The sequence below is a fragment of the Homo sapiens genome, chromosome 20 (genome assembly GCF_000001405.40).
Source record: "Homo sapiens chromosome 20, GRCh38.p14 Primary Assembly".
In the NCBI taxonomy this organism is placed as follows: Eukaryota; Metazoa; Chordata; class Mammalia; order Primates; family Hominidae; genus Homo; species Homo sapiens.
In genome coordinates, this window is record NC_000020.11 from 1,149,092 (window position 1) to 1,162,329 (window position 13,238).

General features: G+C 41.8%; 1 protein-coding gene and 1 pseudogene across 6 annotated transcripts in view, besides 1 other annotated feature; both read left to right on the forward strand.

Annotated features, from left to right (window-relative positions):
* The window catches only part of PSMF1 (proteasome inhibitor subunit 1), a 58,984-nt gene that overhangs the window by 35,829 nt on the left and 9,917 nt on the right, over nucleotides 1–13,238 (forward strand). The window lies entirely within an intron of this gene.
* Nucleotides 11,421–13,104, forward strand: ACTG1P3 (actin gamma 1 pseudogene 3; annotated as a pseudogene).
* Nucleotides 11,462–11,963: an enhancer, noted in NCBI's record as "H3K4me1 hESC enhancer chr20:1141197-1141698 (GRCh37/hg19 assembly coordinates)". NCBI's record gives its function as "activates a minimal SCP1, AML or CMV promoter by ChIP-STARR-seq in naive H9 embryonic stem cells {active_cell/tissue: H9 hESC(naive)}" and the evidence as "EXISTENCE:reporter gene assay evidence [ECO:0000049][PMID:30033119]".

Sequence of the window (13,238 nt, forward strand, 5' to 3'; positions counted from 1 at the left end):
TAGATTCTCATTTCTGCTTCTGCATTCAGTCTGTAGGGGATATGTTGTTTTCATTGAAGCCTTTCACATATCAGTTGTTGGAAAAAAAGAGGACTAGTTTAATAACCTTTTCAAATAATTCTAGATATTCTTTACTGTTAAACCAACTTGACGAGTAGTAGTTTTTGTAAGGGTTAGTTGTAATGTGGAATCAATCCATACCAGTGAACTTGTTATATATCTGTTACATCAAAATCTGCTGGTCTATCATGCCATTTGAATGGACCTTTTACCCGTGTATAATACTATTGTAGAAGATCGTGTATTTTGGTCATTTGGAAAATACTGATTCACTGAGATATGCAGATCTGCTCAAAGTTGACACATCTTATTATACAATATCATTGCTAATTTTTGCTTGAAAACTTGAATTTTCTCATTGGCAGTAAATAGCATTCATTATTTTCCTTGAAGTAATGGGCTCACATCCTTTTCGAGAAAATGTCCGCTATGTAGCCAAGTTGAATAAGCATGGTTTGTCATTCTTTCAAGTAAAAACAAAAAACAAAAAACTGTTTTCTTTGAAAAAATGACTGCTTCAGCCAGCAGCTTGAACAACTGCACAAGTACTTTTCATCATGACAACATTGTGCCTCTGTGTGCAGTAGAAGTGCTTTATGCAAGGCCAGGTGTGGTGGCCCACACCTGTAATCCCAGCACTTCAGGAGACTGAGACAAGTGAATTGCTTGAGCCTAGAAGTTTGAGACCAGCCTGGGCAACATGGTGAAACTCTGTCTCTATAAATTAGCTGGATGTGGTGGCGTGACCCTGGAGTCCCAACTACTTGAGAGGCTGAGGTGGGAGGATTGCTTGAGCCCAGGAGGTGGAGGTTGTGGTGAGCCATGATCACACCACTGTACTCCAGCCTGGGCAACATGGTGAAACTCTGTCTCTATAAATTAGCTGGATGTGGTGGTGTGACCCTGGAGTCCCAACTACTTGAGAGGCTGAGGTGGGAGGATTGCTTGAGCCCAGGAGGTGGAGGTTGTGGTGAGCCATGATCACACTACTGTACTCCAGCCTGGGCAACAGAGCAAGACCCTGTCTCAAAAAAAAAAAAAAAAGTGCTTTATGCCCGTTTCCCACTTCACGCAGAATATTAAAAAGACATATTCAAAGATTGAAATTTTACAAAACTTGACAATCTATACCTCTTCATCAAGTACATTCTAAAGTGAAGCTGGATGTGGGTGAGTGAGTGGTAAGGGAGGGTGCAATAACGGCCAGGTTAGTGCTGCTGCTTTGAGTCATACTATGGCATCAGCAGTTCCACCCACTGTTGCTTTTGCACCGTCAGTGCAAATGTCAACACAGCAAAAAAAAAGCAAATAGCTTCTGAGATAGAATAGTTTTGACCTCATGGGACAGGAGTCCATGAGCCACATTAAAATTTTTTTTTTCTCGAAGTTTACTAGCCATTTGGATTTCATCTTTTGTGAAGAGGTAATCAAATCTCTTGTTCATTTTTCTATTGGCTTGTCTTTTTATGACTTGTTGGCATTGTTTATATAATATATTCTGAATTTAAGTCCTTCATTAAATATATGTATTACAAATGTCTTCCTCCCCTCTGTAGCTTGCCCTTTTACCCTATTAATGGTTTTTTTTAATTATTGTTAAAGCATTCCTAATTTTTATGTAATCTAGCTTATCAGTGCTTTTCCCTTTATGTTTGGTGCTCTTTTGATTTTTGTTTAAGAAGTCTTTGCCTTATGCCAAGGTCATGGAGAAATCCTCATATATTTTCTCCTAGAAGCTTTAATGGTTTACCTTTTATGTTTAGATCTATAATCCATCTAAAATATTTTTTATGTGTGGTGTGAGATTTATATTTTTCCACATTGATATCCAGTTGGTCTAGCACCATATTTTGAAAAGATTATCCTCTACCTATGTTACTTTAATAATTTAATTTTCATTTTTCATTACTTGTGCAACTATTCTCTATTCTTAAAATTTGTTTTCATTCCTTTCGCCTTGGAGTCACATAATATCCCTTTGGTTTTTTCCTGTGGATAGCAAAGTTCAATAACATTTATACAGCTACTGTTTATTCAGTGCCATTGATTCTAGACAAATGCTGGGCATTTAATCCATGTGCTCTTATTTAATCCCCTCAACAATTCCATGAGATTGGTAAGGGCTATCCCCATTTTGCAGGTAAGGAAGCTGAAGTTCATGTACAGTAAGTAACTTCACAACAGTAAGAAGCAAAAGTTGTGTTATAATAGTAAATTATTGAATTCTACTTATGGGACTCAGGCACTACACTTTTGTAAGCATTCTCATTTAATATGTATAACAACCCTGTGAAATAGATACTATTGTCTGTATTTTACACAAGAGAAAGCTAGAGCTTGGAGATTTTCTAACTTGCCCTGGGTCACACATCTGTGAAATGGTGAGGCCAGAATTTGGACTTGAGTCTTATGCCCAAATCAATCTAAGTGTCCATCATGTGCCACTTACTGGGAATATGTCATGAGGTGTGGACCCAGCCTTCAAGGAGCTCACAGTTGATAGGGGCTAATTGCCCTTTTCATTCCAGATCATAAATCTTTTTAAAACAATGGTAGAAGTATGTCTGAGATCTGCTGAAGCACATTAAAGAGTGATTAATCTGAAGGATAGAAGGAAAGTTTTCAGAGAGATGATGCCTGATGAGCTAAATTTTAAAGGACCAATAAAAGTTCTGTGGTATTGAGGGTAATTGACTTTTATGGCAGAGGGAACGATGGGTACCAGTGGGGCTATGAAATCATCTTGTAGAAGTGGGGGAGTTTTTGTTTCACTCATGTCAGCATGTGAAGGGAGAAAAGATGAACATGAGGGCCAAATCACAAGGCCAGTATGTGCTAAGAAGCTGGATTTGATCCATGGGGTGATGGGAGCCATCAATGTTTTGAAAAGTTACGTGGTTGGGACTCGGTTAACCACGGATTTTTTTTTTTCCTCTTGAAGAATCCCAGTCATATTCTGACAGTGGACGTGTTAACATGGTTAATATTTATTGAGCTTTTACTGTGGGCTGAGCAGTTACATTAAATGTAAAGTATATGTAAAACAATATCTTTTAAGCCTCATAAGAGAATGAGGTAGATGCTCTTGGTATCTCTGTTTTATGCAAAAGAAAACTGAGGCAGCAAGAGCTTGACTTGCCCAAAGCAACACATCTTATGAGCATTGGAGCAGGATTCAGCCCTTAGTATTTCCAACTTTTGACACATGTATTGGCAGTTGTTTCAGAAGAAATGAGTTTGGCTTGGATTGCTCCAAGAACAAAGAAATGAACTTGGCTTGGATTGCTCCAAATACTGGTTTGAACACAGTACAGCAGTGGAGCAGAAACAGAGGAGATGACACCATGGGGTAAGCACAGTCCGATGCATATAACCCATGGGGCCAAGATCAGGAGAATGGGAAGCCACTGGACAGGTTTTACAAGGGAGGGACTTCATATTGTTTACATTAAAAAACAAAATAACCCTCTGGCTCCTTTGTAGAGATGGATTATAGAGGGACAAGAGTAAAAACAGACCCAGAGAAGAAGCTGACACAGGCAGCCAGGCAAGAAATAATGGTGGTAGGTGGTAGACTATGGTGGTATATAAGGCAGGTGGCTCTGGGGTATATTTGGAAGTATACCTGACAGGACTTGCTGATGGGTTGGCTTAATGAAGGGAAGAAAACTCAAGGACAATGCAAGTTCTTTTTTTAGCCTGTCATTTCTGATTTGGGACTGCCATAACTAATGCTTCAGTAGACATACTTTTATGCAACTTGGAGCACGTCTCTGAATGTTTCCTTAGAATAGATTCCTATAGAATTACTACATTAAGGACCAAGCCTGTTTATAGAGATTTTGATACAGATTGCTCAGTTGCCCTTTTTCTAAACAGTTGTGTTAATTGACATTCTCACTATGTTTCAATGTCATTTCCCTATCCTTACCAATGCTGGAGTCAGTCTCATTATTCTTCTAAATTACTTAGAAAAACATTGTCTTCATAACATCTGTAAGCTAACTGAACTCAAAGTGTAAGGCCAGTAAAGTGAGGAAAGTGTTTGCAGCATATGTGTGCATCATAAATTGCCACAAATGAGTAGCTTAAAACTGCACCCACTTATTATCTCATAATTCTCTAGGTCAAGAGTATGGATTTGCTTGGCTCATTCAGGTCACTGGCAGAATTCAGTTCCTTGCGGTTATAAGACTAAGGTCCGTATCCCTCTCCCTCAGCTCCATAAGACCTTCTGCATTTCTTCTCATGTGTCTGCCACCTCTTCAAAGCCAGCAGTGCTGTGTTGAGTCTCTTCTTGGGCATTCTTCTTCCTCCACAATCCATGTTCTGTGCTTTTAAGGGTTCCCATGTATTAGATTAGCCCACCGAGATAATGTCCCCTTTTGAGGTCAACTGTGCCATACAACGAAACAATAATAGGATTGCTTTCTCATCACATTCATAGGTACTGGGGATTAGGAGTTGTGGAGTCTTGAGAGGGGATCGAATTCCATCTACCACAATCTGTTCTCTGACCTCTCAAATGTGAAATATATCTTTCTTCCCCTGAGGTTTCCAAGAGTCTTAACCCGTTACTACATCAACTCAGTCTAAAATCTTATCTAAGTCTCATTAGCTTGAAGGACCAAGATCTAATCATCTCAGTCAGGTGCAGTTGAGGCTCCTGAGCACAACTCCTTTCAATCAGTTGACCAAAGAAACAAGTTCTTTGTTCCCATCATATAGTAGTGGAGTGACAGAGGATAAGAAATCTGTGTTTTCTAACATAGAAAAAAAACATGTGCATGAAAGTTATTAAGTACAGTATTATTTGTAGTTACGCATGCATACCCCAGAAACATCAGTGCTTGCAATAGAAAATTAAGTAAATTTTTAAAATTTGCTTCACTTGAGTATGTATTACTTGGCCATTAAAAATGTTAATAGTAAAGACAACTTAGGAAATACAGCACCTATGTGGAGGAAAGCAATGAGATCCAAAATGATATAGTATTGTTACAGTCACATTAAAACATGCTTATGAAAGAAGACATGAAAATAATGCAAAAGTAATCATTGTGTTAGAGTCAGATTATGGGTGACATTTTTCTGTTCTGAATGCTTTACAATTTTTAGCATAATTTATGTATATTTTTTCTTTCTGTTTTTCTTTCTTCTAAAAATCTTTGATCACTTAGCTTAAATGTAGCATTTCCCAACCCTTCTCAGTCCCTGGTTCAGCTTTGATCTCACAGGATATCCTTCAGGGTAAGGAAATGGAAAGGTTTATTGCTCTGTTTGCTCAGGGCCCTGTGACCAGTGCTTCTCTTGCATATGTACACATATACTTCTTTGCAGTTATCAGCATCTTCATTTCCCCAATTCTAAGTTTCCACTCTTAGCTGGACAAAGTTAATAAACTCAGACACCAAAACTTCATGGCTGAATTTGTACTCTGACTGGGAAACAGTCTACCCCCAAATCAGCAGTGTCAGCTTACCTGGGAGCTTGTGAAAAATGCAGAATCTGAGGTCCCACTCCTAGTCTTCTGAATGAGAACCTGCATTTTAGCAGGATCCCCCACTGACTCATGTGCACCTGACAGTTTGAGCAGCACTTGCCTAGGTGGTTCAAATAATGCTGTGGAATTAGGGATTAGGGTCTGAAAATATTTAGGTTGTTGATACTAGTTGTGCCACGAAACCACAGCTGGCACTCCAGAAGCCTGGTGTGCAGACAGTGTTCACACCCAGTGATCAGCCACAGGTACAGATTAGCAGCTGGGAAGGCAGCCATGTTGGCATTCTGTACTGATAAAGAAGGTTCTGGTTCTAGAGTAAGCACATGCCATCCTGAGTTTCCTATTCAGTGCAGCCTTACAGAATGCATAGAGTAAAGCTATTTGAGAATATGAAAACTCCTCATTGAGAAAGCAGATTGGAGAATAGCAGAGTTTTAAGTACCGCTAAATGGTCAGTGAATTCACCGTTGTTCCCCTCTGATATCCTGCAGTCCAAATTCAGGGAAACCCAAAGTGAGGAAATGAACATTGGCGTGGACGGAGAGTGTTCCAGGAAAGGCCTGCACTTCTGGCTAAAGGAGCAGGGAAAGGCACTACAAATGCTCAGAGAGAGTGGGAAAAATCTCCTGTGTTTCTTTTTCCTTTTCTCCATTCATTTACATCCCAGCCTGCAGCAGTCTGCAGACACCTAAAACTGAGGAAGAACCTTCCTTTCCAACAAGAGGACCTGTGGTCTCAAGAGTATGAGACAAACCACTGTTGCTTTTTTCTTCCCTTTGTCCTCCCTCCACTTGATGTTGGACACAGGCACCGTTGTAGGAACTACATGGCAGAGCAGGTAAAGCCCCAGCTTTCTGCTCAGAGGACCCAAAAAGGAGCCTTCCAAGGAAATGGAAAGTACTGCGTGGACCACAGAGCGGGAGGAGCTCAGAAAGCACCCCATAAAGTTGTTATGGCCTTACCTGCAGCTGTACATAAGTGAACCTGATTCTAAATAGCATATCAAAGACTTTAGAATATAAGTACAGGAGAACTGGCTCTTCAGGTCCCAGACTGACAACTGGATAGCACATGCATGGTGGAGACCTTAGTAGCATTGTAAAGCCTATACAAACAGAACTGACATTGAAAGCAAAACTTGGAGCCCAAACTTAACTAGGTTGATTGCCTGCTAAAACAAAAATATCAAGATTCTTCCAAAATGTTCAAAGTATCTGGAATAAAGTCCAAAATTACTGGGCATAAAAGAACCAAGAAAATTTCAACTCTGAAAAAGACAACCGATGTCAGTATTAAGATGACACAGATGTTGGAATTATTTGACAGGCTTTAAAGTGGCTATTATGAAAATGCTCCAGCAAGTGAGGGCAAACAGTCTTGAAATGAATGGAATGATAGACAGGTCAGCAAATAAACAGAAGACCTTAAGAAGAACCAAATGGAGATTTTAGCACTGAAAAATACTGTAAGAAAATTTAAATCTCACTGCATAAATCAGTAATAGAATGGATTTGACTAAGGAGTCAGTGAACTTGAAGATAGGTAATACAAATTATCCTATCTGAACAACAGAGAGAAAAAAAGATTTTAAAATAATGTCTGAGGGACCTGTGGGGCAATTATAAAAGGTCTAACATTGGGGCCACTGGAAGAGAAGGAGAAGAGGAGGAGAAAGTGCAGTACAGAAGTCTTTAAAGAAAGTAATGGCTGAAAACTTCTCAGATTTGGCAACAGGCATAAACCTACAGATTCAAAAAGCTCAGCAGACCCTAAATAGGATAAACCTAAAGAATTCCATGCCCAAACCTATAATCAAACTGCTGAAAAGATTAAAAAAGAAGTCTCGAAAGCAGTTGGAAAAAAACAACTCATTGCTTAAAAAGAAACAAGAATTTGAATGGTTACGAATTTCTCATCAGAAATCTTGGAGGCCAGAAAGAAGAACAGCATTCTTAAAGTATGGAGAGAAAAAGAATTGTCAACCCAGAATTCTATATCCAGTGAATATTTCACCTTCATTTCTAAAGGATATTAAGATATTATTAAGAATATCTTAACAAAGAAACTAAGAGAATTCATAGTCAATAGATCTTCTCAAAAGGAGTTTTAAAAGGAAGTTCCTCAGACAGAATGGAGATGATACCAGATGGAAACTTCAAACATCAGGTATAAAAGAAGAGTGGTAGAAATGGTAAATATGTGGGTAAATATAATGGACAGTTCTCTAAAATAGGTTTCATAGTTTTATTAGTGTTCTCTTAGAGGGACAGAACTAATAGGCTATATCTACATACATATGTATTGGGGAGTTTATTAAGTATTAACTTATACGATCACAAGGTCCCACAATAGGCTGTCGGCAAGCTAAGGAGCAAGGAGAGCCGGTCTGAGTCCCAAAACTGAAGAACTTGGAGTCCGATGTTCAAGGACAGGAAGCATGCAACACAGGAGAAAGATGTAGGCTGGGAAGCTAGGCCAGTCATGTCCTTTTCATGTTTTTCTGCCTGCTTTATATTCTCTGGCAGCTAATTAGATTGTGCCCACGAGATTAAGGGTGGATATGCCTTCTCCAGCCCACTGACTCAAATGTTCATCTCTTGGCAACACCCTCACAGACACACCCAGGATCAATATTTTGTATCCTTCAATCCAATCAAGTTGGCACTCAGTATTAACCATCACATGTCTACCCCTTGTCAACTTGAACTGATACACATCTCCTGAGATCATACATAATCTTCAAATAAAGCCAAAATAAGGTCATAATTACGCCTAACATAATACAACTATCCTTCGTACAACTAGAAACTCACCAATCCCCAACCCAAATACTATTACATAAAGTTAACAATACTTAAATGCTGATACAAAGTCAGTAAACCTTATGTCACATGATAAAGGAGAAAGGAAATAAAATGAAGATGCTTTCTTAATTAAGTGTATGCATGCACAAACATGTTTTTAACAAAAGGAGGAAATACTCATGACAATTACAGTCCTCGTTTCTGCAGCTGGTCACGTGGTCGTAGCTGGTATTGATGATTGCCTTCTACTACTACCCATTCTGTATTCCCTTTGCCTTCAGTAAGCACCTCAGCAGGTCGTTTTTTTTTTTTCCTGGTGGAGTGACCCAAAAAGGGTCACTTCATTCCTGAAGGGTCTGGATCATTTGTAGTCCTGCCTGGATTGGGCTGTTGTAGTTTCTCATTGATCTTAATCACAGGGCATGGTAATACTAAGAGATGCCTTAATGGATCTCCTGTATTCCATGCATACTCTTCCTTACCTCCGTTCTAGAGTAGTAGACTGATTTCATCTTGATAGTCTGGGTCAGTCACCCCAGCCAACATTGTAACTCCCTTCTCAGCCTGTTGACTTAAAGGTAGAGGAGCCCAAAGTATCAAGTGGCAATCTTAACTTCCAGTTTAATGGAATTATTGTGTCTCCTGGTGGCAGCGTTCCTCCCTCTGGAACTAAGACCTCTAGGCCAGCAGAACGCAATGTCATGGGAATAGGAAGCAAAAATTTTGCTAGTGGATGTCAATCTTTTAAAAACTAAATTAAAAAAAAACTAAACAAATTGTAGCACAGCATCTGACACAAAGCAAACTCTCAGTAAATCGCAGCAGCTGCTGTTATTACATTCTTCCAGGTCTTTCCTTTAACAAATCTGTTCACCTGCAATGCTACATTTTATCATTATGGCAGGCCCTGTGGGTGTTACTACTTAGATTTTACATCTTAAAGACTGAAGTGCAGAAGTTTCATGGCAGACCCCTGCCAACCAGCTGGAAAATTCCCAACCCAATGTCCAGAGCGCATCTCTGACTCCCAGTCCTGAGGCCTTTCCAGTTCACCAGACCACCTCAGCCATTAGAAGGGTGTCAGCTGGATTTGTGTGCCCAACGAGGTGTGTTGCTTTTATGTAAAAGAGAAGCACATAAGGAAGAAATCATGAGTGTTCAGGATCCCTTTCCAGTCCCTTAAAGAGGCTGCTTTTGCAGTAGCGACATACTACCCAGTGAGCTCAGCCATGCAGTTTTTCCTGCAGGGTTAGAGTGGATCACTTCCTTCAGTTGATCACCATTTGAAGTAGCAGGGGTTTGAGTTCAGAGGCCATGTACGAAAATGATTTTAAAAATACCTGGAGCCTCATTTAGCACATGCAAGACTGAGACTCAGCCAAGGGGGCTATCTAGAGAAGGACGGAACCCCCTCCCTCTGTACTATTTACTCTGAGTTCATAAAAAAATTAGCCAGGCGTGGTGGCGCATGCCTGTAATCCTAGCTACTTAGGAGGCTGAGGCAGGAGAATTGCTTGAACCTGGGAGGCAGAGGTTGCAGTGAGCTGAGATTGTGCCACTGTACTCCAGCCTGGGCAACAGAGTGAGACTCCGTCTCACAAAAAAAAAAAAAAGAAGAAGTAAATGGGTTCTAAGTGTGTAAATAATGAGGTCACAGAAGTCTTCATGTGTTGCAGTGAGTCTTTGTTGAATATGAGCCAACTGAATATGTTGTTACAGTTTCTAGTACCTTTTTAAAAATTTTTTATATTTTTCCTTAATAATAGAGATGGGGGTCTCATTATGTTGCCCAGGGTAGTCTCGAACTCCTGGACTCAAGCAATCCTCCCACCTCGACCTCCCAAAGTGCTTGGATTACAGGCATGAACTACTGCACTTGGCCTTTAGAGACATGGTTTTGCTATGCTGGCCAGGCTGGTCTCGAACTCCTGGCCTCAAGTGATTTGCCCACCTCAGGCCTCCCAAAGTGCTGCGATTACAGGCATGAGCCACCGTGCCTGGCCTGCAACTGCCTTTCTAGCCTTTCTTGTTCTCTTGTTTCTTCTCTCTTCCCCACATTTCGTGGGCCAGAGAGAAAAATAGAGATGGTTGCATATTTCAGAGCAATCTTTATTCCCAAGCATTTTATCAGCCACTAGAAGCCCCCTATGTTTGCCACTCTGGGCGGGGGGGCACTTCATGGAGTCAGGTAAGATGCTTACTGCCCTCTGGCACCACCTGGTCTGCCTCTAGTTAGGCAGGATGTTGGAGGCTGCTAGAAACTTTGACTGCTAGCTCCATGAACTGTGGCTTGGGAGCAGTAACCTAGGTCAGGAAAAATTCCTTCCCTAGGAAACCTGGCCTTGTCCATTTAAATCACAGTATCCTGCGATTCCAGCCCATCAGGTGGAACTGACTGGAGGAGCACCTACTTTTGGATTTTTTCCCGGTTCTCTAATTAATGGCTTCTTACCTGTAAGCTTAGATTAGCTGCTGTTTATAAGGCTTTCCCAAGGTCTGGCAGGAACGTGCCAGTGCCCCAGAACTATCAGGTTTGTATTGCTTGCCAGGGCTCTGCGAAGATTCCAAAGCACATCTTTCAAAATACTAAATATTTGTGTTGTATTATATCCATATCCCTATGCATTACGGAAAAAACAGGAAAGTATAAAGAAAGCCCTCACCACCCAGGAGTGACTGTCACTGTTTACGCTCTCGGTACGCTTCTTTCTGGTTGTAATTATACATACCACCACCACTACCCTGCATACACACGTTTTTCACCGTTGATTTCCCTAGGCTATTGATGACCCCCTTTCCCCTCAGTACTTAACACTAGAGCATGAGCATTTCTCCACATCATTTTTAAAACATTCCCAGAACATGGTTTTTATTGCTTCCATGGCTGCACTTGGGGACCTGCCATGATGTTCCTAACTGGTCTTCATTCAGGCTGACTGCAGTTTCCTTGATTAATGTCTTTGTGAGTATATTTTAATTTAAATTCTTTATTTAAAATGAATACCTAGACATAAAATTATCAGATCAAAGAATAGAGAGATATATAAGAGGGTCTCACTCACTACTGCTGGCCTGTGCTCCATGTCTTCCCACCGCTCTGCCGCCCAGCTCCTCCACCGATCACAATGGAAGAAGAGATCACCATACTCGTCATTGACAATGGCTCCAGCATGTGCAAAGCTGGTTTTGCTGGGGACGACGCCCCTGGAACCATGTTTCCCTCCACTGTCAGGTGCCCCCAACACCAGGGCATGATGGTGGGGATGGGCCAGAAGGTCTTCTACCTGGGCGACAAGGCCCAGAGCAAGCACGGCATCCTGACGATGAAGTACCCCATCGAGCACAGGATTTTCACCAGCTGGGAAGGCATGGAGAAGATCTGGCACCACACCCTACAACAAGCTGCATGTGTTCCTGGAGGAGCACCTGGTGCTGCTGACTGAGGGCCCCCTGAACCCCAAGGCCAACAGAAAGAAGATGGCTCAGATCATGTTTGAGACCTTCAATACCCTGGACATGTACGTGGCAGTCCAGGCCATACTTCTATGCCTCTGGGCGCACCACTGGCATTGTCATGGATTCTGGAGACGGAGTCACACACACGGTGCCCATCTACAAGGGCTATGCCCTCCCCACGCCATCCTGCGTCTGGACCTGGCTGGCCAGGACCTGACCACCTCATGAAGATTCTCACAGAGTACGACTACAGCTTCCCTACCACAGCCAAGCGGGAGATCATGCGTGACATCAAGGAGAAGCAGTGCTGCGTCGCCCCGGACTTTGAGCAGGAGATGGCCACCGCTATGTCATCCTTCTCCCTGGAGAAAAGCTACAAACTGCCTGACAGCCAGGTGATCACCATTGGCAACATGCAGTTCCAGTGTTTGGAGGTGTTGTTCCAGCCCTTCTTTCTGGGTGTGGAATTTTGCAGCATCCATGAGACCACCTTCAGCTCTATCATAAGGTGTGATGTGGGCATCCACAAGGACCTGTATGCCAACACGGTGCTGGCCAGTGGCACCACCATGTACCCAAGCATCTCCAACAGGATGCAGAAAGAGATCACTGCCCTGGTGCCAGCACAAGGAAGATCAAGATCATCGTGCTCCCAGAGCGCAAGTACTCCGTGTGGATCAGCAGCTCCATCCTGGCCTCATTGTCCACCTTCCAGCAGATGTGGATTAGCAAGCAGGAGTATGACAAGTCGGGCCCCTCCATGTCCACCACAAATGCTTCTAAATGGACTACAAGCAGATGTGTAGCATTTGCTGCATAGGATAATTCACACGTATAAATTTGCCCCTGACAAATGTATACACCTCATGCCAGCCTCACAAAACTGGAATAAGCTTTTGGAAAGAAATTTGTCCTTGAAGCTTGTGTCTGATATCAGCAGTGGATTGTAGAACTTGTTGCTGATTTTGACCTTGTATTCAAGTTAACTGTTCTCTTGGTATTTGTTTAATACTCTACATATCTTTGATTTCAGCCCTTAAGTGCATGTGGTTTGGTCACTTCATGGCTGAGGTGAAGAACATGCTTGTGGAAGACAAGTCTATGGCTTGGGGGGTCTGTGTGGCTGGCAGTCTCCCACTGGTGCAGGGTATTCATGTGTCAGGGCTGAGTATTCTGGGATTTCTCTAGAGGCTGGCAAGGGCTCCTGAACCAGTTGTCATTTCTGTCTTGCCTGTAGGACCCAGTTTCCTTTCTTAGCTGATGTTTTCCTGCCAGAACACCATGGGCTGTTACTTGTCTTGAGTTGGAAGCGGTTTGCATTTACACCTGTAAATTTATTCATCCTTTTCATTTATGTAAGGTTTTTTTGGTATGCAATTCTTGAGTCTTTAAGAGATGACAACAAATTTTGTTTT